At 44.3% G+C, this 27,287-nt stretch overlaps 1 protein-coding gene and 1 pseudogene across 1 annotated transcript in view, besides 1 other annotated feature; one reads left to right on the top strand and one right to left on the bottom strand.

Moving 5' to 3' along the window:
* Positions 1,227–1,819, top strand: LOC100131080 (ribosomal protein S14 pseudogene; annotated as a pseudogene).
* Positions 9,761–10,960: an enhancer, noted in NCBI's record as "CDK7 strongly-dependent group 2 enhancer chr16:8566588-8567787 (GRCh37/hg19 assembly coordinates)". NCBI's record gives its function as "activates an origin of replication core promoter dependent on BRD2, BRD4, P300/CBP, MED14 and CDK7 cofactors, with strong dependence on CDK7, by STARR-seq in HCT116 cells {active_cell/tissue: HCT116}" and the evidence as "EXISTENCE:reporter gene assay evidence [ECO:0000049][PMID:35650434]".
* The window catches only part of TMEM114 (transmembrane protein 114), a 63,960-nt gene continuing 56,399 nt past the window's right edge, over positions 19,727–27,287 (bottom strand). The window contains exon 4 of the transcript NR_110736.2: positions 19,727–19,853. The gene's annotated coding sequence lies outside the window, so the exon portion shown is untranslated. The remainder of the gene's footprint in view (positions 19,854–27,287) is intronic.

Raw genomic sequence — 27,287 nt, forward strand, 5'->3', positions numbered from 1 at the left:
AAGGCAGGAGGATCACTTGAGACCGGGAGTTTAAGACCAGCCTGGGCAACATAGTGAGACCCTGTCCCTTAAAAAAAAAAAAAAAAAAAAAAAAAAGCAATGTTCTTTACTTAGCCAAGCATGGTGGTGCATGCCTGTGGTCCCAGATACTCAGGAGGCTTAGATGGGAGGATCACTTGAGCCCAGAAGTTCAAGGCTGCAGCGACCTGTGATTGCACCACTGCATTCCAGCCTGGGTGGCAGAGCAAGACCCTGTCAATCAATCAATCAATCAATTATGTGATGGGAAGTCATTGGAAGTTTTTGAGAAGAAACATGGGATCTAATCTACATTACTAATCATTGCTATAAATACTGTATGGGCAATAGACTGATAATAAGGCACAAAGGAGGAAGCATAAAAACCATGGTAGTTGCCCCAGCAAAAGATAATAGAAGTTTGGACTTGAGTAGCCACAGTGGGAATTATTTCACTTACTCTTGACAATGACCCATACAGTAAGTACCAGCCTGCTCATTTCACAGGTGAAAAAACTGAGGATGGTCATGGATTATATATTAATAACATGATAAGTCACACAACTAGTGAGTAGCAGAGCCAAGATTCACTCAGGTCTGCAAGAACCAAAGCCCCACACCTCCTCTCTCATACCTCTCTGCCACCAAGTGGAGTCGAGAGCTGTTAGGAGGGTCAGCAGAGTTCAGAGGCGTGGATTCCCAGGCCCTCAAACCCAAGATCAGCAGCACTCTCCCCGAGGAAGGAAGGAATAATATTTGGCAATAAAAAGGTGGATACATGTAATGCATGTCACATAACACAGTGAACCTCAAAGATGCCTCGCTGGGGATCAGCCTTTCTCAAAAAAAGGCATACTCCATGATCCCATTTACATTAAATTCTAAAAGAGGCAAAATTAATACATGGTGAAAGAAACCAGAACAGTGATTAACTGGGGGAAGCGGAAGTTTTATACTTTAAGTATGATAATAATCAGTTTTGTCACATCATCACAAGGAAGCTTTTCTCAGTATCAATGCATAAATAAACTTAAAAAACAAAAAACCAAGATCAGCGATGCAAGCATTGTTATATAAGGAAATTCTGAATGCTGAACACTGCCAGACCCATGAACTGGAGAGTCGCCATCTAAGACGTTTGCCAGTTCTAGGTCACCCTTACAAATGTGGAGCATTTGCAAACTGTCAGTCTTAAAAACCAGCAAGCGGGAGACGACATGTAGAAATGGCACCTCAAAAGGGGAAGGAAAAGAAGGAAGAACAGGTCATCAGCCTTGGACCTTGGGTGGGTGTAGGAGAGAATGTATTTGGTGTCTGCCAAATTTTTGCATCCTTCACTGACACTTTGGTCCATGTCACTTTTGTCCATGGCTGGAAGATGCAGCTTCCAGCTGCATCCATTTGCTGCAAAGGGCATGATTTTTGTTCTTTTAGATCTTTCTGTCAAAGAAACGCTCTGCCGTGTTACTGGTGGGATGTAGGTGAAGGCAGACCCAGATGAAACCTTACCATAAGCTGCCATGCTGGCCACCCAGGATGTGGCCCAGAGGTGCAAGGAGCTGGGCATCACTGCCCTACACATCAAACTCTGGGCCACAGGAGGAAACAGGAACAAGTCCCCTAGACCTGGGGCCCAGATGTCCCTCAGAGCCCCTTGCCTGCTCAGGTATGAAGATCCGGCAGATTGAAGATGTCACTCCATTTCCCCTCTGACAGCACTCCCAGGAAGGGGGGTCACCGTGGTTGCCCCCCTTTGAGGGCTCCTGAAAATATTTTCTGTTAATTAATTGCTTTCCTGTAAGAAAATAAAAAGCCAGCCAATATGCCCTGAGCACTAATTATATGCCAGAGCCTCTTCTAAAAGCTTGACATGTTGAATCCACCAACAACCCTTGGAAACTGGTTCCAGGATTATTCCCACTTTAGAAATGAGAACGCTACAGCACTGAAGGACTGAGATCCTCTGATTGTTTGCTTATATCCCCAGTGAGACTGGAAACTCCTTGAGTCTGGTTCCATGTTCTGTGGCTTCATGGATCCTCAGGTGCCGTGATAATGCCAGCCACAGAGTAGGTACTCAAGAAGTGGGGCAAAAAATCAAAACCACAATGATATATCAACTCACACCAATCATAATGGCTATTACTAAAAAGTCAAAAAACACAGATGCCGGTGGGGCTGCGGAGAAAAGGGAACGCTAAACCTCTGTTGATGAACATGTAATTTTGTTCAGCCCCTTTGGAAAGCAGCTTGGAGAGTTCTCAAGGAACTTAACACAGAACAACCATTCAGCCCAGCAACCCCATTACTGGGTATATACCCAAAGGAAAATAAATCATTCCACCAAACAGACACATGCACTCACATGGTCATCAAAGCACTATTCACAATAGGAAAGACAATACACAATAGCAAGGAAATCAACCTAGGGGCCCATCCATGATGGGCTGGATAAAGAAAATGTGCACCATGGGATACTATGCAGCCATAAAAAAGAGAAAAATCGTGCCTTTTGCAGCAATATGGATGTAGGTGTAGGCAATTATCCTAAGCGAATTAACACAAAAACAGAAAACCAAATACCAAATGTTTTGACTTATAAGTGGGAGCTAAATATTGAGTACTCATGGTTATAAACATGAGAACAATAGCCACCGCAGACCACTGGAGCAGGGAGAGCAGGTGGGGAACAAGGATTGAAAAACTAACTATTGGATACAGTGCTTACTACCTGGGTTATGGATTCAATCACACACCAAACCTCAGCATCACACAATACACCAGGTTAAAAACAAACAAACAAAACCTGCATATATACCCCCTGAATCTAAAACAAAAGTTGAAAAAAGCATAAAAATGTGCAGCAAAAGAATGGATGCTGTGTTCTTAGTTCTCCCTCCTGCTCTCCCCTCTCTCTCTCTCTCTTTCTCTCTCTCTCCTCACCCCCACCACTTCAGTCTTATTGGCCAAGTGCCTTATATCACTACCCAATTTAATTCTAACAACAACCCTACAAAGTCCTTCTCTTTCTGCCTATTTTGTACATGAGAAACTGGGACTCTCAGAGGTTTCAAGTTTTAGAATTAATGTTTTGACTCAGGGATTTTTAACAACGATCTTACATGTTCAGCCCAAGGATGGGACTCCTCCTGAGAACCCTAGGTCTGGGGAAAACTTGCAAATGGAAACGAATAAATCCTGAGGTTGTCTCTAAAGGTGTAACTACAGGGCTCCATAAATGATATTAACAGCTGTGTCTCTACGGCTCTACTAAAGTCAAAAGTGATGCTGTTGATTAAAAATAAATAAATTAAAATAAATAAAGAAGAATGACTGCTCAACCATCGGCTGAAACCATGTTGTCCTGTGCCAAGTGTCAGCTTCAGGATAGGTTTTGATGTGGGAAGAGTTAAGCCTTGAGTTATTATCAGAATTAGGGTGCTTTATTGGTTCACATCGTCCAATCTTCCCCAGCCATTATGGTTTTGCTGAAACATTAAACTACTTTAAACTTTCATTTTCCTCTTAAAACTAAATTAGTTTGGAGGAAATTGTATTTTCCGAGCTCCAGCACCAGCCTCAGGCAGAGGGAGTTACAGTACAGCGCCCAGATAAACAACAATCACGGCCTAATTACTAAGTGATAAGTGCAGTGTTTCTCAACTTACATTTGCTTTGGAGTTTCTGGGGTCGTGCAGGGAGGCAGCTCTCAAGCAGATTTCCTCAAGAAGCTTTGGGTATTTTTTCTTTTTTACTTTTTAATTTAGTTTCAGGGTGTCCATGTGCAAGTTCGTTATCTGGGTATATTGTATGATGCTGAGGTTTGGGGTATGGCTGAATTTGTCACCCAGGTAATGAGCATAGATAGGACCCAACCTAGTTTGTCAACATTTACCCCCTCCATCCCTCCCCACTCTGGTAGTCCCCAGTGTCTGTCATTCTCATCTTTATGTCCATGTGCACCCAATGTTCAGTTTCCACTTATAAGTGAGAGCATGTGGTATTTGATTTTCTGTTTCTGCATTGATTTGTTTGGGATAATGACCTCCGGCTGCATCCATGTTGCTGCAAAAGGCATGATTTCGTTTTTTCATGGCTGCATGGTATTCCATGGTGTATGTGCACCACGTTTTCTTTATCCAGCCCACCACTGATGGACCTCTAGGTTGATTCCACATCTTTGCTGTTGTGAATAACGCTGTGATGAACATACGAGAATATGTGTCTTTTTGGCAAGAATATACGTTGTCTTTTTGGCAAGATGATTTGTGATCCTGTGGGTATATACCCAGTAACAGGATTCTTGAATCCAACGGTAGCTCTGTTTTTAGTTCTTTGAGAAATCTCCAAACTGCCTTCCACAGCAGCCGAACTAATTTACATGCCCACCAGCAGTGTATAATTTGAGTTATTTATACGGTGGTCTTCTACATCTGTAGCTACAGAAAGGGTAAGGACAAAGAAATTTACAAAGCACCTAATACTCTTCTGCAGTACTAGGTACTAAAGTATGTTATTTCATCCTTACTAGTAGTAATAGGAGATGCCCATTTTATAGAGAAGGACTCTTGAGGCTGGGTCTAACAGATGAAGGCTGATCTACTGAGATCCTGCTGCATGCTAGAAAATACGCTGGGCTCTTCTTTTACTATAACACACATCCATTCCTCTGTCTGCCCCGCATGTCGATTCTTTGGGGAAATGCTCTTTCTTTCATATCAACCATACATACTATCCCCAAGAAGTCATGTGATTGAATCTGAGCCCATCTTGGGACCTTAGTCATGTGATTAAAACTGAGCCAATTATAGGACGTCCAACAGTCATGTGATTAAAACTCAGCCAATCACAGGACCTCACCACCCTGGCCACAGTGATTGGTCTAAGAGGCAGGAACATGATAGGAGCCAACCCAATCATTCCTCTTCCTCAGAATTTTTCCACCTGGAGCTGGAAGTAGGTTTCTGCCCTCTCTGGTGAAAAACCTGGGAAAAGTCTAATTTTTACCTTTTGGTGGCCATGGGGGCTAATGAAAGCCATTCTCAGAAAGACAAAATAAATGCTTGGCAGGAATATAGAAGAAAGCTGAGAGGTGGGAGGAGAAAGAACCTCTCTGTTTCTTGCTGTATTTCCTTGCTGTCCATAGCTGAGTTACTATGCCCATAACACACCTACCACCTTTTGCCCTAGCTGAATCCAGTCAGGGTGGCCATTTGCAAGCAAGAGTACCGATGACACTCTCATCACCATATCTAATTTATTGGGCACATACTGTATGGCAGGCACTAATCTAAGTGTTTCTCTTGTCTTGACTCATTAAATCCACATAATTTTTTTTTTTTTTTTGAGACAGTCTTGCTCTGTCACGGAGGCTGGAGTGCAGTGGCGCCCAATCTCAGCTCACCGCAACCTCTGCCTCCTGGGTTCAAGTGATCCTCCTGCCTCAGCCTCCCCAGTAGCTGGGATTACAGGCATGCGCCACCACGCCTGGCTAGTTTTTGTATTTTTAGTAGAGACAGGGTTTCACCGTGTTGGCCAGATTGTCTTAATCTCCTGACCTTGTGATCCGCCCGCCTCAGCCTCCCAAAGTTCTGGGATTACAGGCGTTTAAGCCACCGCTCCCGGCCAAATCCACACAATTGTATGAGGTAAGCACCAGTGATACTTCCCTTTTACGTTTAAGAAAAGTGAGGCATGGAGATATTAAAACGATTTGCACAGGGTCACAAACCCAGAGTTTCTTCAACTAAAAAATGTGGAATATATAGGTCTTTTCAAAATCAGTGCCTACTTACAAACATTGTGAGTTTCTTTGCAGGAAATATTGACAAAGTCTATACTGATCCGGTGCCTCCAGCAGCTTTACTCAAGGGTTCACCCTCCTCCAGCCTCTCACCCCAGGAGGGCCATAAAACTATTCTCAGAAATAGATTCCTCTCTGCTATGGGCTAAGGACCGAATATCCCATTTCACAGATGGGAAAAAGAAGTATTAGAGTTTAAGTAAGAGTCTCAATGTGGTGGAGCTAGGATTCTCACCCAACTTCAGAGCTAACACTTTAAATATCTTCCCTCTATTCCTTCAAGATGAACTCATCTTGTTAGATTTGCTCAGATGCTGCACCAGTTCACAGCCCCGAGCTGATCTCTTTTTATTTCTGCAAATGAAAATATCTTTATTGTGTTTTCTTTTTCTGCTGAATCTGAAGATGACACAGGCTGCCTGACATTATTCTCATCAGCAGTGCCCAAGCCCACAGATGGTGAGGGCTGAAACTTCCTGTTAGACAACTGTTTCGAACTTTCAGGGCTGATTGCCTCTGGCAGAAGCAGCCCCAAACCAACCAGAGTGTTTGATGCTGCAAGAGTGTGTCAAGACTGCCTAGCCATTTGCTAGTCCCTTTTAATTTTGAGAGTGAATGGGAGAGGCTGGCTGTGCAGAACAGAGGGGAAGGCAGAAAGACAAGGAGAGAGAAGGACAAGGTGAGAAGAAATGGTGATTTTGCAAAGCAGCAGTGAAGAGTAAAACTGATACCATTATTGCTCATTCCCTCCCTGGGATCCTGATAAGACAGGACATTTGCGGTTGCTCGTGAAAATGAGGGTTTGGCCAGGGTGACCTTGTACATAAGCATGCTTCATTCGCTGAAGAACCCAAAGCTCTTCCTGATCCAGGCACTGCAGTAGGCGTGGTCTGAGAAGAGTCCCTCGTGTCCCCATCAAAACCTTGTCTCACGAGTGGACTCTGAAAACTATTTATGCATGTCTGCAAGTGGCATCTTTGGAGTGGAAGGAGGTAGCAACATTATCAATTAACAGGACGGGTGCAGTGGCTCACACCTGTAATTCCAGCACTATGGGAGGCCGAGGCAGGCAGATACTTGAGGTCAGGAGTTTGAGACCAGTCTGGCCAACATGATGAAACCGCATCTTTACTAAGAATACAAAAATTAGCTGAGTGTGGCGGCGGGCACCTGTAATCCCAGCACTCTAGAGGTTGAGGCAGGAGAATCACTTGAGCCCAGAGGGCAGAGTTTGCAGTGAGCTGAGATGATGCAACTGCACTCCAGCCTGGACAACAAAGACAGACTCCATCTAATATATATATATATGTGTATGTATATATATATACACATGTGGTCCTAGCATGACTGGAATGTCAAAATCGAGTCTCTTGCAGCAAATATTAACAGTCTATACTGCTCCAGTGCCCCTAGCAGCTTTACTCGAGGGCTAACCCTCCTCCAGCCTCCCACCCTATGAGTTCCATAAAACCATTCTCAGAAATAGATTCCTCTGTGCTCTGGGGTATGAGGGATATTTTTGGACAAGGACTGTATTTGCTTTCTGTTGATGCTATAACAAATTACTACAAACTTCGAGGCTTCTGAACTCAAATCTATGATCTTACAATTGTAGAATCTGAAACTGATCTCACTGGGCTGAAATCAAAATATTGGCAGGGTTGCATTTCTTCTGGAGGCTCTAGGGAAGAATTCATTTCCATGTCTTTTCTGCTTCTAGAGGTCACCTACATTCCTTGGCTCAGGACCCCTTCCTCTCAAGAAAAGACTAAATCCTTCTCATGCTCTTGTCTCCTGGCTCCCTTTCTTTTCTCTCTTTCTCCCCCTCTTATAAGAACCCCTGTGATTGCAACAGACTCACCTCAATAATCCAGGATAATCTTTCCATCTCAGTGTCAGCTGATTAGCAACCTTAATTCCATCTGCAAGTTTAATCCCCCTTTGCCACGTAACCCAATATGTTCACAGATTCCAGGAACTAAGATATGGATATCTTTGGGGATGGGAGGGGTCATTATTCTGCCTACGATAATTATTCTGCTACCATGGAGGTTTTAGCAAAATTCTTAATAGCACAATCAAAGCCCCTGCCCTGCTTGCAGGAACAGCAAGAAGATTCAAGCAGAGATGTAGAAATTAATCTGGCAATGTCCTTGCCTCTCTTCAGTGCATTATCCCTTCCTTTTTCATTATCTAGAGAAATATTCATACATATACACTCATACATAGGTATTTGCTGAAGTGCCATTGCTACAACAGAACTACAGAAAACCAGTTAGCAATAATGATATAGATTTATTACTGCAAATATGGAAGAATCTCCAAAACAGCACTCCCTTTATAAAACAACAATAACACATACTTTTTATGCACACACAAACACCACACCCTCCTCTGTCCAAGTATTGATACACGCTTGCTTACATTGTGAGTGTCCTCTAAGGCTACTGTGTGGCCATAGTGTCAACACAGGTCATGGTTAGACCACCAATATGTTGATTCAAAGGAAGCACGACGGTCACGCCAGGGGCCATCATGCCACGCTGTGACTGTGGAGCGTCAATATATCCTCAACATGCAGGCACTGCTGGACAGCCAAAGCTGGCAGGATGCCCTGAATAGGTTGGTGAAGACTCGTGCTATACCCCCAGGGTGTCTGCCTTCTAGGTCATTCATTGGCTCTCAGGCTGTTGCTGGAAGGAATAGATTGGCCAAGCTAATGGGTTCAGCTCTTGGAGGAGCATGGATGAGATGCCAGTGCAGACGTCATTGCACTCTGAAGACCAGTGCATCTTGAGGCTGTGGGTGGGCTCTTCATGAGCGTTCAAACGTCCTCTCAGTCAGCTTAAGCTCTGGCACGGAATCTGTCAAAGTCTCCAAACTGAAGGCATTAATTTTCTTTCTTTTCTTGGGTTGAATGTCACAGTTAAAGTCACTAAGAAAGCCTCCTTTCTTTTTGTTTCTATTCTTTGCATCTCTCTTTGCACTCTCCCTGTATCTCTCCCTGACTTCCCTCCCTCCCTCCCTCTCTCTTCCTTTCTCTCCTCCTCAGTCCCAGGTCTCGAGCTCATGTCCCAGGCTCTGCCACACAATATCCTATAACAAAAACTCCAGCTAGGTTCAGTGATTCACACTTGTCATCCCAACACCTTGGCAGGCCGAGGCGGGTGGATCACTTGAACTCAGGAGTTTGAGACCAGCCTGGGCAACATGATGAAACCCCATCCCTACAAAAAATAAAAATAAAATTAGCTGGGTGTGGTGGCATGCACCTGCAGTCCCAGCTACTCACTTAACCCTCTTCAGCTCTATTGCTGATGATTTCTTATGTGCAAGATGGAAATAACGATCCTGTTTCTTTGGGCTGTTATAAGGATGGCATGAAATATGGTATGCAGGTGCCCACAGCACGCACACTGGTCATGTACTGTACAATGGAACACGTATCCACTCTTCCCTTCCTTCTAGGTCAAGGCACATGGCTTGGCAAATACTAGGTGCTCAATAAATGGTTGAAAGAGTATATAGCACTTTGGTAGGGGCAGGGGATAGGTGGACAATACCAGCCTCCCTGCTTCTGGCCAATGGGAAAGCTCAGTGGAGGCCTCTGAACTGAGATTTTGAAAAGTCCCTCTTCTCTTTCCTGCTTGGTTGTTGATGGGCCTTCCCAGTTCATTTTACAATTTTAAGACTCCCAGAGCAGATGGCTGGAAAGGTCCCTATGAGCCAGGGAGGTTTTAGCAAAAAGGTCCCTATGAGCCAGGACTCCCTTTAATGAAAGAACCCATATCAAATTACCACCAGCAGTAAAAGATAATGTTGGAAGACATAACTGGCTTGTCCAAGGGGCAGCTGCCTTCAAGCATTGCTAAATTCAGGAGTCAGCGACTGTTGTCCAAGCTCATTCTCTCTTAATTTTAGTTCTGTTTTCCCCTGAGTTCATTTCAAGGTGGCTGTCTTCATGAGGTGGGTCCTAGATTGGCAAGAATTAAGACAAGGATTGGCAATAGGTCAAATGCGGCCCACTGCTCATTTTTGTAAATAAAGTTTTATTGGAATACAGTCACACCCATTCATTGAAGTATCTATATAGTCTATGGATACTTTTGCACTAGAGGCGGCAGCACTGAGTAGCTGCAACAGAGACTGAATGGCCCAAAAAGCCTAAAATATTTACCATCTGGCCCTTTACAGAAAAAAATTTGCCAATCCCTGATCTAAGTGAAAGATCCCTACTTTTCCATGGGTGGGTGTAAACTCTCAAAGGACATGTTTGGGACATGATTCTCTCCCTGAATCACTCTCTGGGGCCAGGGATGTAAAAATCTCTGACTGGCCAGGCTTCATCCTGGAACCATCTTTGTGGCTGGGAGCTGGAACTGGGCAGGACACCTTGATGGAAGGCCCCACCGAGGCCGCAGGGAATAGAAGAGCAGCACTTTCCCCGGGGAAAAGCAAAGCACTGTCACCACAGAAAAAGAGAGAACAATTGCTAGAAAAATAGGGGAAGCCCGTTACAAATGAATGAATGAATCGACATAGCTTGGAGTAACAGGCGCAAATGACACACTCCCTGATTTTCAAAGGCATCCCGTCCCGGAAAGTTCACTTCAAGTTTTGAGTCAACCAGCAGGTGCTGATTTTCTGGAAGAAGGACTCACCCGGATTCCTAAGATCAAGAATTCCAGCACTTTTTCATTCTCACCACTGATGATTCAGCAGAGGAAAGAGAAAACAAAATAAAAAAACTATTGATCCTTCAGTTCGAGATATTGCCAAGGGCGGAGGCTGAATTGTTCATACCTCTTAAGCCATAGCTATAATCTGAAGCTGGAAATGACCCTTCTGACACTGCCAAGATCCTCCCTTGGCTCTGGTTAAAGGGTTAGAGATGCTGCCTCTTTCCGCAGTAGAGCTATGAAGATAACCCAAGTCCAAACAATTTAGACCAGGAATGCAAATACCTGGCAGGTGTCACTCCTCCCTCCATGAGTGTGGAAGGCATAGCTAATCACTCATGGATATTTTTCAACACAGCAGACATGCACTCATTACTAGTTGATATTTATCTCTTTTGGTTAGCCAGACCCCAGAGTCCTCATCTGGCCACAAAGAAGACCTTGCACTACCTTCTTCATTCTAAATACCTACCCCTTTGGGAGGATCACTTGAGCTCATGAGTTCCAGACCAGCCTGGACGATGTAGTGAAAGCCTGTCTCTACAGAAAAAAAAAAAAGTGTTTTGAATTACCCAGGAGTGATAGGGCACACATCTAGTCCCAGCTACTCAGGAGGATGAGGTGTAAGGATTGCTTGAGCCCGGAGGTGGAGGGTGCAGTGAGCTGAGATGGCTCCACTGCACTCCGGCATGGGCAACAGAGTGAGGCCCTGTCTCAAAAAAACAAAACAAAACAAAGCAAAAAAACCTACCCAATACCTATTTCCTCCATCAATTCCCAGACACAACAGTCCTTGTTTCAGAAATATTAAATGAGAAACCAAATGTCCGTCAATGGGTGAGTGGATTTAAAAAATGTTTTGTATGCATCTACAATGGAATACTATTTAGCCTTAAAAATAAAGGAAAGTTGGGCCGGGCACGGTGGCTCACGCCTGTAATCCCAGCACTTTGGGAGGCCGAAGCAGGCAGATCACGAGATCAGGAGATTGGGACCATCCTGGCTAACATGGTGAAACCCCATCTCTACTAAAAATACAAAAAAAAAAAAAAAAAATAGCTGGGCACGGTGGCACACGCCTGTAGTCCCAGCTACTCAGGAGGCTGAGGCAGGGGAATTGCTCGAAAGCAGGAGGCAAAAGTTGCAGTGAGCTGAGATCGTGCCACTGCACTCCAGCCTGGGCAACAGCGAGATTCCATCTCAAAAATAAAAATAAAAAATAAAATAAAGACATAAAGGAAAGTCAGATACTTGCTACATGAATGAAACTTCCCAAGACATTATGCTAAATGAAGTAAGTCAGACACAAAAGGACAAATATTGTATAACTTGCTTATAAGAGGTATCTAGAAGAGTCAAATTCATGGAGACAGAAGGTAAAATAAAGGTTACCAGGGCCTGGGAGGAGAAACAATGTTGAATGGGTGCAGAGTTTGAGATGGATGGTGGTGATGGTTACACAACCATCTGAATGTGCTTAATGCCACTGAGCTGGACACTTAAAAGTGGTTCAAATGGCAAATTTGATGTCATGTATTTAACAAATATGTTTCCATTACCAGCGTGGTGTTCAGGATCTTCACTGTTCCTGTCCATAATTCCAGCTTTATCCCTCTATTTTTGATATTTGCAATGCTCCTGCCACAGGTTGGATTCCCAAAACATGGTCCACGTTTGTCTGTTTTTATCATCATCCCTTCCTCAAGCTATTTCTGCAGCCTGTGGAGCAGACTGTGGTGGTTACACATTCCTTTTTGCCCAGGTCTTATAACCCATTCCTCCTTTTTCTTTCCTCTGCGGACTCCTTTTCCACACCACATGACCTCAATATCCTGTGAATCTCACTCTAAACCCACCTTTCTTCTTTAATCCTCATTAAAGTCCTTTGAGGCAGAATTCATCTCACTTTTCGTGCTTTCCCATAGCACCTTGCTTTATGAGCTCATCTGTTTGCCTTGTTCTAAGGAGGTTGTGTTTGTCTTTCTCCTCCACCCTTTCCCCTTGATAATACAGAATCACACTGAACTCAGATATGCATGGCCATGAGAAACACACGCCATAATGCCCGTTCAGGAACAAATTCAGAACATTGTTCCCAGGCATTCTCGTGCATGAGCTCACCTAGAAGTGTCTTTCAAATGCAGGTTCTTGCCTCACCCCATAGATCCCAGTTCAGTTTGCTCAGTGCAGGTGGTTCTTGGACCACCCTTTGAGAAACATTGTCCTGGAACCTAAGTCAAGGTAAGTTTTAAATTCCAGTCTGTGATAGTATCAGCCTGAGGCTGGGGTAAATAGCAATGAGTATTAAGGAGAAAGCTGCAGTATGTACCTAGATGTAATATTTCTTTAAATTTCACTGCATTTTTTATTTCATGACCACTCTATTTCTTTCTTTGTTTCATGCAAATACTATTAAGTATTGTCATTTCCGTAACTAGTTTTTCTCTTCCTTTTTTTTTTTTTTTTTTTTTTTGGCACGGTCTCACTCTGTCGCCCAGGCTGGAGTGTGATGGTGATATCATGGCTCACTGCAACTTCTGCCTCCTGGGCTCAAGCAATCCTCCTACCTCATTCAACCTCCCAGTAACTGGGATTACAGGTGCAGGCCATGTCCATGCTAATTTTTGTATTTTGTGTAGAGACGGGGTTTCACCAAGTTGTCCAGGCTGGTCTCGAACTCCTGGCCTCAAGTAATCTGCCCACCTCAGCCTCCCAAAGTGCTGAGATTACAGACGTGAGCCACAATGCCTGGCCTTGTTTTTCTATAATAGCAGGAAGTCTTATATACAAAAGTGTCTCAAAGAGTCCATGGAACGTAACTTATCAGTATGGTTCCTTTCATCCTCAACTTTTGATGGGGCCATTCTTGAAACGTTTTCCTTGTCCTGGCACCCAACTCAAACCACATGAGCCCCCAGACTCTTCCTGGACTCCTCCAGTGGGGAATGATCTCCCCTGCTCCACATTCCAACCCATCTTCCTCGTCCCCACCCTCACTGCCTCTTGGCTCCTACTGAAGCCACTTGATGGACTACTGACAAGGTAGTCCCTGTTACAACAATAGTTGCCATGTACTAAGTGTTTGCTACACACCAGGCCCTGTGTTGAGCATTTTCCATGTATTATCCCACGTCATCGTCACATCTACCTTATATGCAGTGTCATTAACATCTCTCTTTTAGACATGAGGAAACAGAGGCTCAGAAAAGCTAAAACAGGCTAGGCAGTGGCTCACACCTGTAATCCTAGCACTTTGGGAGGCCAAGGTGGGAAAATAATTTGAGGCCAGGAATTTGAGACCAGCCTAGGTGACATAGCTAGATCCCATCTTTAGAAAAATAAAAAATAAATTAGTCAGGTATCAAAAATAAATTAGCTGAGTAACCTGTAGTCCCAGCTACTAGGAAGGCTGAAGTGGGAGGACTGCTTGAGTCCAGGAGTTTGAAGCTGCAATGAGCTATGATGGTGCTCTAGCCTGGGCAACAGAGTGAGACTCTGTCTCAAAAAAGACAGAGAGGAAGGAAGGAAGGGAGGGAGGGAGGGAGGGAAAGGAGAGAAAGGAAGAGAGACAGAAAGGAAGAAAGGGAGAGAGGGAGAGAGGGAGGGAGGGAGAGACGGAAGGAAGGAAGGAAGGAAGGAAGGAAGGAAGGAAGGAAGGAAGGAAGGAAGGAAGGAAGGAAGGGAAAGAAAGGCTAAAACACTTCTCCAAACTTGCTCCATTAGTAAATGGCAGAGCTGGCCTTCAGACCCTTGGCCTGTCAGACACCAGCATCTACATCTTAACTACCACACTGTACCTGGTTGACATCACCATTTAACATGCTTTCTGCACATGTTCACCTTACTTTCTCACTCAAGGTTCATAATAACCCAGAAAAGGAGGAATTATTTTCTCTCTTCTCTATCACACTTACTTCATACATGAAAAAAAAAAAAAAATCAAGGCCCAGCAGGATGAAGTAACTTACCCAAATCTTACCTCGGTTGATGGATTTTAACCTGTGAGGCGTATGGGTGTGGAAGAAGGACACAGCATTCCAATATAGCCTTTTCCCATCAACGTAGCCTCTTTCTTAGGAAACAAAAATGCAGTTTTCCTGGGACCTCATTGCTGGTTGTAAATGTGAAGTTAGAGCCTTATTTCTAACTCTGGAATTAAATCGTTCACCCTTGCATTTAGAATGTGAAAATTAACAACTGTCGGTTATTTTCTTGATACATTTTCTCTAAAGGGCAAAGATGAAGGCATCTTCTCTGTGTCAGCAGGAAAATCCCCAGAAAAAGACATAAAAAAAAAAAAAAAAAAAGAGCTTCCTAGGTTGTCAATTAAACAAGAGTCTGTCCATGTGCATCCACGGAGCTCTGGGCCACAAAGTTATTTTATTTTTTTTAGCGACAAGGTCTTGCTCTGTTGCCCAGGCTGGAGTGCAGTGGTGTAATCATAGCTCACTGCAGCCTCAACCTCCCAGGCTCAAGCAATCCTCCTGTCTCAGCCTGCCAGGACCAGGAAAACATTTAAAGAATGGCCCCATCAAACCATACTCTTCTCTTGCACAAATGCTGTTTCCCAGAAGGTCTTGAAACGTGTTGGTCCTAAGCACATCAGAAGAGTAGCAGGCAGGATGCCATCATGGTTCGTAGCCCAGCTCTGCCATATATTCACAGCGTGACCTTGGACAAGTGATTCTATCCCTCTGCAGATGAGAATTTTACCGGGAAAAATGGTGGTAGGAATAGCGAGAACTCACCTAACTGCATGGTTGGGTGTATTTAATGAAACTTTGGGTGCAGAGCCTTTAGTCATGGCTTTAGCTTCTTAAGAACTCAAAACATAGTAGCTTCAAAAGCCAGGAGCTTGAAGACAGAGAAGAAATAGCCCAGCGAGGAAAGAATGGGAGGGCTTGGAGGAAAGTGATGGCTTCTATACGGTGACACCAGACAGCGGTCAAGGAGGAATCAGAAAATCCTGGCTTGACTGCAAACCACACCAGTTATATAACTGGGTGACCAGTCGCAACTGTTCTCAGCTTCATTGTCATGAAAGGACTCTTATGAGGATAAAATAAAGCACCACCTATAAAGTATCCAGCCTAATGCAGGGTGTTCAATAAGCCTTGAGTACCACCCTTCTCTCAACCTGCCGTACCAACTGCCTGGTGTTCAGCAGTGGATACAGATTTGCCATCACTTCCCACAGCCAGAGCTGTTTCACCCTTGATGGTTTCTCTCTCCTCAGCAGCACTCCCCCTCCTCGTCCACTGTCCCTGGGCACTGCCCACACCCCAGTCCTGGCCACCATCGTCTCCCACCGAACTCATGAGGCTCCCTTGAGATTCAGGTTTCACCCTTTCTCATTGGTTCATCTCCTCATTATATATTCAACTCTGCCACCTTCTCTCAAGAGCAGTCTCAGGACACAGATGAGAATGTTTTCCATATGGTCTAATTGCACTCCAGGGAGTCTTACCCACAATCTCTTCCCTCACTGATGAATAGCAACTCCTAAACATCTTCCCGAGCCTCCGTTCCTATTGAGCCTGGAGAGGGGCTTCTTCTCCACCCCGGAAGTCAGGCAGCTCCTCTAAGTCATTTCTCACCCACTTTAAGAGCCCTTTGTGCATTCTCCACCCACTCATGTTGGTTCCAACGTGGGAGTGTTTGAGTGGGCTTAAAGTTCACCTCTCGACTCACCAGCGCACTCAGTTCTTGAAAATGTCCCCACACACCCTCATGAGTGAACACCTCACCCTCAAACACCGCAGCTGGCTGAGGTGTTGTTGTCTTTCTGAAATGGTTTCTGTGAAAGTCCAGTTCTCAGAGTGAAGGTCTTTCCTGCAGGGGTGCCGGACAAAAGACTAGTAGGATGTTTATACCCCGGGAATGAATCAGAAGACAGGGCCATAGTGGTAGCATCTGACACTTAGTCTGAGAGTGAAAGTGAGGCTACTAGGAAAAGCAATCTGAGCTGCAATACTGGGCACAAATCAGAAAATGGAGTGCAAGGTGAGCTTATTAATAGACAAATGGTTCATAGGAAACTTTATGGGGTCGATATCACACCAGCATGAGAGCTGACCTTGTGATGCAGGGCAGGTGAGCCCCAAAACTGGGGCTTAGCCCACGAAGATTCTTGGCTTCACTCGGGAAAGAATTCAAGAGCAAGCTGCTGGTAGAAGAAACCTTAGCTTTAATAAGGCAGCAGCCGTGTTACAGCCTCATGATCGCTCCTGCAGAGCAGGGCTACCCCATAAACAGTGCGTTGAAAGTAGCAGCCTAGGGTCAGGTCTGCAGTCATAGTTATACCCAATTTTAATTACATGCAAATGAAGAGGCGTGTTTTTCAGAAACGTCTAGAAAAAGGATGGCAACTTCCCGGTCATTGCTATGAAAAAGGGTGGTAACTTCTGGGAGTTGCCGTGGCAATGGTCAACTGACCTGGCACTGGTGGGCGTGTCTTCTGGAAAGGTGCTTTTGCCCCTTCCCTCTTTCAGCCAGTCTTCAGTCTGGTCCAGAGTAAAGTCCCACCTCCTACCTCACTTGCATATCTCTTCCTTACTTCTCAACATCACATCAGTAGCTTGAAATTAACCGTGGTGGGAGTATTTACACCACAATAATAAGCAAACGCTACGAGTCAGAGTTTAGTTGTTTTTGTTTTTGTTTTCGGAAAGCTGGTTGTTAAACATTCACCAGCACACCACTGGTAGACTAGCAGAACAGGAGGGTAATTAAGAGCACAGGCACTGTAACCAGACAGACTGGGAAGCCTGCACATATTTAGCCTTGCTGAACCTCAATTTCATGATCTGTAAAATGGGCTGAGCCGCCTGAAAGGGATTCATTCAGCTTCAGTGCTCTCATTGTACAAAATGCTCAGCACAGTTTCAGGGACATAGAAAACCCTCCTTAAAAATGGCAATAACCATGCTGCTGGTGCCACTATGACAGGGCTCCAGGTTTCTCCTCCTGACGTTGTCTTCCCAGTCAGGCATAAGCGGCTGAAAAGAGACACTCAGGGGCAAAGTGAAGCTGAATATATATAGTTTCAGAAGTGCCAAAGTCAAGAAGAAAATTTCTACAACTTCTCATCTTTGCCAACTTACTTTTTGGGTGTTTGTTAAAGAAATTGAATTCAAAAAGCCCAGTCATTCTAGAAGGATTTTTCAATAATTGCCTTTTTTCCCTTCAGATGTTCAGAGATTATTTCCGCCACCATTGAGATACAGATAAAAAGGAAGTCAAGTGTTTCAGTGCCAAGCCCAGCCTGCCTCATGAGCAGGGAGGTTATAACAAGAAGATAGCTGTCTCCGAGAAAAGCTAATCCATCGTTTTCATGTCCAACCTTTACAAATTGTGCCCGTGTGGCAGAGTTTGAATCACTCTCTCTAACAGCCTCTGAAAACAAATGCAAAACCTTTCAAGTTCATTCAAAGTCATTACAGCACTTTCTAGAACTGAATCAATTACTGTAACCTCTGTGGGTGTGTAAAATATGAAATTACCAGCACCCTCACAGAGCCACAGAATTGGTAAATTAGCAAACATTGATTATGGGAGCTTTGGGAGCAGCCCCTGGTGTATTAAGTGTCTTGATGACAAACAGCAATATATTATTTGTGATATTTTGCTTGATGAAATTGTCTTGTCCGTTAACGGTGCTTTGCCTCAGTTACAGCTGATTTTGCCATCTCAGAAATTGACATGGGGGTTGAGCTTACCATGTTGTCAGTGACAAAAATAAGACAATCCAATTGTTCTGATAGAACCAGTATTTATTTTGTATCACAATCAAGTTGAGAGTTCGGGCTTTCCAAATGAGCTCACCACGGTTTCTCCTCTCTGGACACTGTGGGTCATACATCAAGAACAGACTATTATTTAAACTCTTTCCATGTGGGAGAGCTGTTTGTCCTTCTCATCACTCCCTTCTCATAATCCATTCCTTACCTTCCTTCCCCCTTGTTATCCTATGGATCCACTTTCTGAGCCAGGTTGACTAAGGGCAGGATCACTGTACACTAAAAGGTCAGTGTCTCTAATCCCAGCACTTTGGGAGGCCGAGGCGGGCAGATCACGAGGTCAGGCAATCAAGACCATCCTGGCTAACACGGTGAAACCCCGTCTCTACTGAAAATACAAAAAAATAGCAGGGCATGGTAACACATGCCTGTAGTCCCAGCTACTCGAGAGGCTGAGGCAGGAGAATCGCTTGAACCCAGGAGTCGGAGGTTGCAGTGAGCCAAGATCACGCCTCTGAACTCCAGACTGGGTGACAGAGCGAGACTCTGTCTCAAAAAAAAAAAAAAAAAAAAAAAGGTCAGTGTTCCCCATGTAGCCTTCTTCTCTTCTAGTTCCTGCTTTCTTGGTTTATGTCTTGATTTGTCTCAAAGCAAAAAGATAAGCTTCAGATTGTCTTTTCTTGGAATGGAGACAGAAAAACGAACGAATGTGGATAATACCTCCCAACACTAGCACTCTGAGACCTCTTGGGACGTCTATCTGGCTCACAATAATGACCCCACTATATAGGAACCCCTTCCTCTGCCAACCCAGTCTCTGCCAACCCAATCATAGCTGAATGATCCCAGGCATGAGCACCTGGCTGGACCTGGGAAAATCGGATTCCCCACTGGGAATTTGATATTTGGAAGACCAAGATTTAGAAACTGCACGTCATTGGATCTAATGTACTCTAATGAGAAGCATCATGGATTCTTGAGCTCATGTCCCAGAGCAGACTTGGTTTTTTCCTTTATTGATTCTTGGTTATCCAATACTTTCTGGGGCTCCTTACGCTATTATGGTACCAGAGTACTAAAGCCCCGTCTTGTTTCTCCTTCACTTTCTGCCATGATTGTAAGTTTCCTGAGGCCTCCCCAGAAGCAGAAGCTGCTATGCTTCAAAGTCATTACAGTACTTTCTAGAACTGAATCAATTACCGTAACCTCTGTGGGTGTGTAAAATATGAAATTACCAGCACCCTCACAGAGCCACAGAATTGGTAAATTAGCAAACATTGATCATGGGAGCTTTGGGAGCAGCCCCTGGTATATTAAGTATCTTGATGACAAACAGCGATATGTTATTTGTCAGATTTTGCTTGATGAAATTGTCTTGTCCGTTAATGGTGCTTTGCCTCAGTTACTGCTGATTTTGCCATCTCAGAAATTGACACGGGGGTTGAGCCTACCATGTTGTCAGTGACAAAAATAAGACAATCCAATTGTTCTGATAGAGCCAATATTTATTTTGTATCGCGATCAAGATGAGAGTTCGGGCTTTCACCTTCCGCCATGATTGTAAGTTTCCTGAGGGCTCCCCAGAAGCAGAAGCTGCTGTGCTTCTTGTACAGCCTGCAGAACAGGGAGACAATTAAACATCTTTTTTTTATAAATTACCCAGTCTCAAGTATTTCTTTATAGCAATGCAAGAGCAGATGGATACACCCTCCAATCTAGCCACACCAAAATAATTCCCACCCATCCCCTGGTCTACAAGAAAAGTTAATGAATATGAGTTAAGTTGGTGCTTTCCCACCAACCCATGAACATTTTCCTGCTACCAACACTTTAAACTTTGAACATGAAAACATGCTGAGTAGGTGGGGCACGGTGGCTCGTGCCTGTAATCCCAGCACTTTTGGAGGCCAAGACAGGTGGATCACCTGAGGTCAGGAGCTCAAGACCAGCCTGGCCAACATGGGGAAACCCCAACTCTGCTAAACATAGCAAAATTAGCCCAGTATGGTGGGCACACCTGTAGTCCCAGCTACTCAGGAGGCTGAGGCAGGAGAATTGCTTGAACCCGGAAGGTGGGGGTTGCAGTGAGCCAAGATCATGCCACTGCACTCCATCCAGCCTGGGCAACAGAGTGAAACTGTGTCTCAATTAATAAATAAATAAATAACTATTCCCTCACTGCTCAACTCATGGGCCCTTACAGCAACTAAGCTCATGAAGCCATGAGATCTTCTCTCCAGGGAAGGGAGACAGCAGGGGAAAGTGGAAAAACCCCAGCTTTGGTGTCAGGGACACCCAAATTCAAATCCTGCCTCTGCCTGTTAGTGTCTGTGTGCTTTGAGGCTCACTGTTTATCTGAACCTCAGTCCTCTTGTCTGTGAGATGAGCATAAAATGGACACTTCCCCGTGGATTTGCTGTGAGCACAAAATAAGATAACAACTGTAACACCCAAGCAAGATTTCTAGTCTGTAGTAAGATTTTTTTTAATCATGGAATTTTGCGTGTTTTTAGCCAGACTGCATTGAAACTGTATTCTGTGCCTGTACTAAGCCCCTTTCTTGTTCTGTGTCTTTTTATTCTCACATGGGACCATTGAGGGTGGTAGTTTTGGGCCCCACTATACAGAAAAGGAAACTATGCTCAGGGAGGTTTAGTAACTTGTCCAAAGCCACAAGCTGCAAACAGCTACTAAAGAGGATCCGATTCTAAATCCACACCATGACTCTGTCTCCCCCCAATACAGGATGTGGAGTTTGGGTCTGTGAGCTATTTGCAAGTTATTATTTCCCCCTCCTCATCACCTAGACTGGGTCTCTAGTTTCATGATAGTTTCTTCTTTTTTTATTTGTTTGTTTGTTTTAGACAAAGTCTCCCTGTGCTGCCCAGGCTGGAGTGCAGTGGTGCGATCTCAGCTCACTGCAACCTCTGCCTCCCAGGCTCAACTTTATTCTCCCGCCTCAGCTTCCTGCGTAGCTGGGATCACAGGCATGTGCCACCATGCCCGGCTAAGTTTTGGTAGAGATGGGATTTCGCCATGCTGCCCAGGCTGTCCTTGAACTCCTGGGCTCAAGTGATCTGCCTGCCTAGGCCTCCCAAAGTGCTAGAACTACAGGTTTGAGCCACCATGCCAGAACTAGTTTCCTGATAGTTTCTGATATGAATTTGTTCACCCAAAATGCGCACACACACACACACACGCACACACTCTTTCTCTTTTGAAGGAATTCATAAGTTCTGATAAAGGAGGAAGATGCATCTCACGTCACCCCACTCTCCCATTCTGCTGCAGAAGATGTACCTGGCTCATGCACCATGCTGTTCTAGTTAATAGGCATCAACACTCTGCTGCCCCTTCTGACCTGCTCCCCCAAACATAGACAGCTGTCTCAAAGCATCCAATCACACCCTTCCTCAACCTCTCACACCAAGGGGGAGCATCTCCTGGAAGCCAGAGTTGAGGAGGGGAGCATGCTTTCACCAAGAGGAGCGCAACAGGCTTTTGACAGATCAGAGTGAATGACTCTCTCTCTCTCTTCACTCTGTTAACATAATGAGGGGATAACCCGGTATTTAAATCGCAGCCTTGGTGGTAAATCTGCATTGTCAGCTTTCAACATGATTTACAAAATAATTTAAAAATGCATGAACTTTCTTCTTTATAAAGCATGAAAGTGCTAAGTTAACTTCTAAATATTTCATAGCCCAAGGTGAGCTCTTTGCCTTCTGGCCATCACTCACTGAGCACGCGCTCTGTGTGTGCTTCTGAAGACACTCCATTACAGGATGTGTGAATTTGCAAGGCATTCTTGGTAGGGGGGATATTTTGCCTCTGGTCATTTGAGTAATGCTATTGTTTGCCATCCTCCTGGAAAATGGCTGCTGCAGGAATCCCTGGCAGACTCTAGATCTTGTCTATTTCATGACAGCTGAGCACAGGACTATTGACTTTGAAGGTCCTTCCTGCAAGGTGGGAAAGGCACTCTCAGAAGAGGGCTTTAGAGAATCGTTCGGAGAGGACAGCAAAATCCTCAGCATCTTGGCTACCTGGAAGAGATTGCAGCTGGCTAGGGTGAGAAGCAAGGATGACCAAAAATCCTCCATCATTATGGGAAGAGAAGGACAGCTAGACTTGGATGAAGGTTATTTCTCTCTTATCACTAGCTTTCCACTCAAGGCTAGGATTATGTGTGCATCCCTGGAGCTAAAAGTTGAGTGCAGCTATTCCAAAATGGTTCTGACCAGGACTCCCCAAAGCCATCTGAGACCGTTGGCCTAGAGTCAGACCTCTCTCATGTGCAGTTAACCCATTAGTGGAAATGGCTCTTCCTTGTCGCTGGAAGCAGCAAAGTGGCAGCTGGATAACTAGCAGGGACATTTGTTGAAGAGAATTGAATATCACATGGAGAAGTGGACAGGGAGTGTTTCTACGACTGTGGTCCTCAGATCAGCAGCATCAGTGTCATCTGGGTTGTTTGTTTAAATGCTGATTCCCAGATCCCCCTTCAGATGAACTGAATTGGAATAGGTAGGCAGAGGCACCCAGGAACCTACATTGATAATTAGCTTCATTGGTGTTTCTCATGCACACTAAAATTTGAGAACCATTGGGCTTACTAGTAGTTCTGAATCCTAGCTGGACACTGGAATTCTTAAAAGAAAACTTAAAAAAAAAAAAAAAGTCCTGATGTCTCAAGTCTCACCCCCAGAAATTCTGATTTCATTGACAAACCTGTGTCTTGGGCATGTGGAGAGTTTTCACATCTCCCCTAGGTGATTCTGAGGTGCAGCCAAGGTTGACCACCACTAAGCTAGAAGAATTTTAGGCTCTTGGATTTCTATGAATTAGTATTTGCACTCAACCTGAAATTCTCTAAGTGATGGAATGCACATCACTTCACCAGGTAGTTCCTTCTTTGACTGATGGTTCTAATTGTGAAACCTAATTTTTTCAGCTGAACTGAAATTTTACTCCATACCAATTCTATTTCCTGGTCCCAGTTGCCTTGAGATCAAGTCATCCCAGTTAACAAACTGTACAGTTGAAATTTGCATTAGCTTTTTCCTGCCACATCCTTTTTTTGCCTCCAATTTCTCATCTCCTTCCCACCCTCTAATCTCACCTGATAGCCAGTGCCCTAATCTCTCTGCCTCCATGAAAACTCACTCTCAGCAAAGTATCTGAGATGAGCTGATTGCTCACTGGCATGATCAAGTCAATTGAGGGGGTGAGTATTGCGGAGACCTGGCTCCACATGGCTCTATCCCTGTGGGACCTTGGACGTGACCCTTTCAGTCTCTGGGTCTCAGAGTTCCCATCTCTAGAGCTAGTAGGACTAGTCTAGATTAGTTCTTAAAACTCTTTCAGCTCCCATAATCTAATCTGGGAAGGACTAGACTGGGAAGCATAGGAGCAATAGCTAATGTAGCCAATGGAAAGAGAATGAGAGAGAAGAAAGGAAAGAAGGAGACAGGGAAGGAAAGAGAAAGGAAGACAGCGAGGGAGACAGAGAGGAGAGAAAGAAAGCAGGAAGGAAGGAAGAAGGGAAGGTGGGATGGATGAAGGGAGGTAAGGGGGGACGGATGAAGAGAGGGAAGGGAATGTAGTTAACCAATAGAGGAGGATGGGAGGGAGAGAGAGAATTGGGATTGGGGAGGAAGTTTGGAAAAGAAGGAGGGGCCGGGCATTGTGGCTCATGCTCATAACCCCAGCACTTTGGGAGGCCGAGTCAGATGAATTGCTTGAGGCCAGGAGTTTGAGACCAGCCTGGCCAACACAGAGAAACCCCCACATCTACTAAAAATGCAAAAATTAGCAGGGTGTGGTGGCATACGCATATAATCCCAGCTACTCAGTAGGCTGAGGCAAGAGAATGGCTTGAAGTGGGAGGCGGAGTTTGCAGTGAGCCGAGACCATGCCACTTCACTGCAGTCCAAGCAGCAGAGTGAGACTCTGTCTCAAAAAACAGGACGGAGGGAAGAAGGAAGGGAGGGAGGGAGGAGTGAGGAAAAAAAGGGAGGCCCATTGCAGCCTTTTGAAAACTTTCTAATGCATTAAGCAAAATATTTTGAAAATGTAGACAACAACACTACTCTTTATATAGTTACTTATTACACAGTGCTAGTGTGCTGTTTGAATCACAAATTGCATGCTAATGGCCTAATTCATAAACCATTGACATTCTTTATGAGTCCTTAGCATTCAGAGATGAAGAATTTCTGTTCAAAATATAATTTGCATTGCAAAATTCAATAATTTAGTTTCTCATATTCATTAATGCCTAAAACCACAACACATAACTTATCCCATTCCAACCCCCTCCTTGGAACACTGGAAAAAGAAGTGTTTCAGCTGGGAAATCAAGTACTGCTTTTTATGGCCACGTTTGAAACTGCTGTGAGAGTTATCACAAGGGAAGCCATGTTGGTTTTCTTCAAGGAGTGGGCACTGAAGGATTCTGCCACAGCAAGATAGCAGAGGTAGAAGGGCCTCTTGCACCCATGCAGAAGTTTATTTAACCTTCCCAATCTCAGGAACCCCGTCTGAGACCAAAGTTCCTGCTGAAAGAGATGTGTGATTTTTGGTGAACTCATCCATAGAAAACTCAATGAAGTGACCAGTGTAACATTCAAAGTAACAATTGAATAATTCATGGGACACTCAGTTGAATAGTCTGTGGAATCCTCAATGAAATGATCAATGTAACAGTCAACCGAATAGTCCATGAGAAAACTGAATAGTCTGTGAAGCACTCAGAGGGATTGTCAATTAGATATTTAATGGAAAGGGATGTAAAATTCTTTGTGAACTAGAAATGAGGAACATTCCCTTGGCAGATAGCTCTGTTATGAGATAGGAAACCTACCTCATGTAGATGAGAAGTAAAGTTGAATTCATAACAGCTCTAGCTGTTTTTGTTTCCTAGTATAAGTGAGGCACTGAAAATCTGTTGGAAGAAAGAACGGAGAGGTGGATTGCTTATGGAAGAGCCAGTGGGAATGCTTACCTGGCTCAGGTGCCCCTAGTAACGTCTTTTGTGGTACTACGTAGGGTTCAGCTCCAACACACCAATCTTGATTTGATGGGTTTTAATTAGAATGTGCTAATATAAATTTTTCTTTTGAAACAATGCGTAGGCTGCTCAGAACCCAGATCCTAGTATTGAGACAATAAAATTAAATGAACGTAACTCCTAGAGTCAAAAGTCCTGCATTTTAATTTTCACTCTGCCTCTAGCCCTCTGTGTAAACTTGTCCAAGCCACATCCTCTCTCTGGGACTTATAAATAGGGAAGTTTGGATGTCGTGATCTCTAAAAACTCTTTCAACACTAAAACTTCTAGGACTTCTGAATCTGACCCTAGTATTATGATCGAAATTGGACACCAGTCACTCCTGTCTGGGTGTGCTTGCCTCCCAGAGCTGCTATCCAAGGCCATGAAAGGTGAAAGGCCAAACACCTTACTAAAATTACATTCTAGGGGTCCATTAAAGAGAACGACGTGTCTCATTTAGTGCTGTATTCCAGATGCTCAACCTACAACCTGAATATCATTAGTGCTCAAGAAATAATCATTCAGGCCAGGCACAGTGGCTCACGCCTGTAATCCCAGCACTTTGGGAGGCCGAGGCGGGCGACTCACGAGGTCAGGAGATCGAGACCATCCTGGCTAACATGGTGAAACCCCGTCTCTACTAAAAATACCAAAAATTAGCCAGGCATAGTGGCGGGCGCCTGTAATCCCAGCTACTCAGGAGGCTGAGGCAGGAGAATGGCATGAACCCAGGAGGCGGAGCTTGCAGTGAGCCGAGATCACGCCACTGCACTCCAGCCTGGGTGACAGCGCAAGATTCCATCTCAAAAAAAGGAAAAAAAATAAAGAAAAGAAATATTCATTCATTCAACAGATGTTTTCTGTGCACTGACACTGTGATGAGCTACATTCTAAGCAGTAGGGATATCATGATGAACAACATAAATAAAGTCCCTACCATAAAGGTAGGGTAGTAAAAGTCCAAAAGGTAGTAAAAGTCCAAAGCTTACATTGGACTGGAAGAGACAGATAACCAACAAATAAAGCACACATAAACAAAAGCAAACAAGTTTGAATAGTGATGAGAGCTGATAAAATAAAGTAATTGATGGAGAATTGTTGAGATGAAGGGATTACTTTCGATTAGTTCAAGAATATATCCTCAGACATTTGATAGAACATCTGAGTTGAGACCTGGATGACATGAAGAAGCCAGCCGTGGGAAGATCCCAAGGCAGAGTATTCTGGGAAGAGAGAGGAGCAAGTGTCAAGGTCCTGGAGCAGAAACATGCTCTGTGAGTTCATGGAAGATGGGCCAAGGCCTGTGTGGATGGAGTATTGTGAGGGGCGATGAATGGGCGAGGTGGTTATGGTTCATGTCGGAGCCTTTGATACATGGTCACAGGTTAGTATATTATTCTAAGTGTAATAGGAAACCACTGAATATTTTTAAAAGGTAAATGGCATGATCTGGTCCAGAGCTTTAAACAACCAAGTGGATGCTTTATGGAAAATTGAATTGTTGAATGAATGGAGTATGAAGTACCAATTGAGTGTTACATTGATTATTTCACTGAGGGTTCCACAGACTATTCAACTGAGTGTCCCATGAACTATTGACTTGTTACCTTGAATGTTACATTGGTTACTTCATTGAGTTTTCCATAGACCAGCTTACCGAAAATCACACATCTCTTTCAGCAGGAACTTTGGTCTCAGATGGGTTTCCTGTGATTGGGAAGGTTAAATGTGCTCCTTGGAAGAGAGTCATCCCGGGAAAGTGATACCTGTCCAGGAGAAGGATGCAATCAGGCATTTCAGAAAGCAACTCCAGTGTGACTCCTGCTGCTGTGACATCTGACCACGAAAGGCAACCCTTCTGCCTGGCACCCAGTACCTCTTTGTGAAGCCTGAAAATGGCTCTCGTTTTGAGATTTGCTTCACTTCTCCCTCCTTCTGTCCCTGCAAAACTCTAGCCCTGCAGCCTTGCCATGAGAGCAAGTCATTCATCAGAA

Source organism: Homo sapiens, chromosome 16, assembly GCF_000001405.40.
Source record: "Homo sapiens chromosome 16, GRCh38.p14 Primary Assembly".
Classification (NCBI taxonomy): Eukaryota; Metazoa; Chordata; class Mammalia; order Primates; family Hominidae; genus Homo; species Homo sapiens.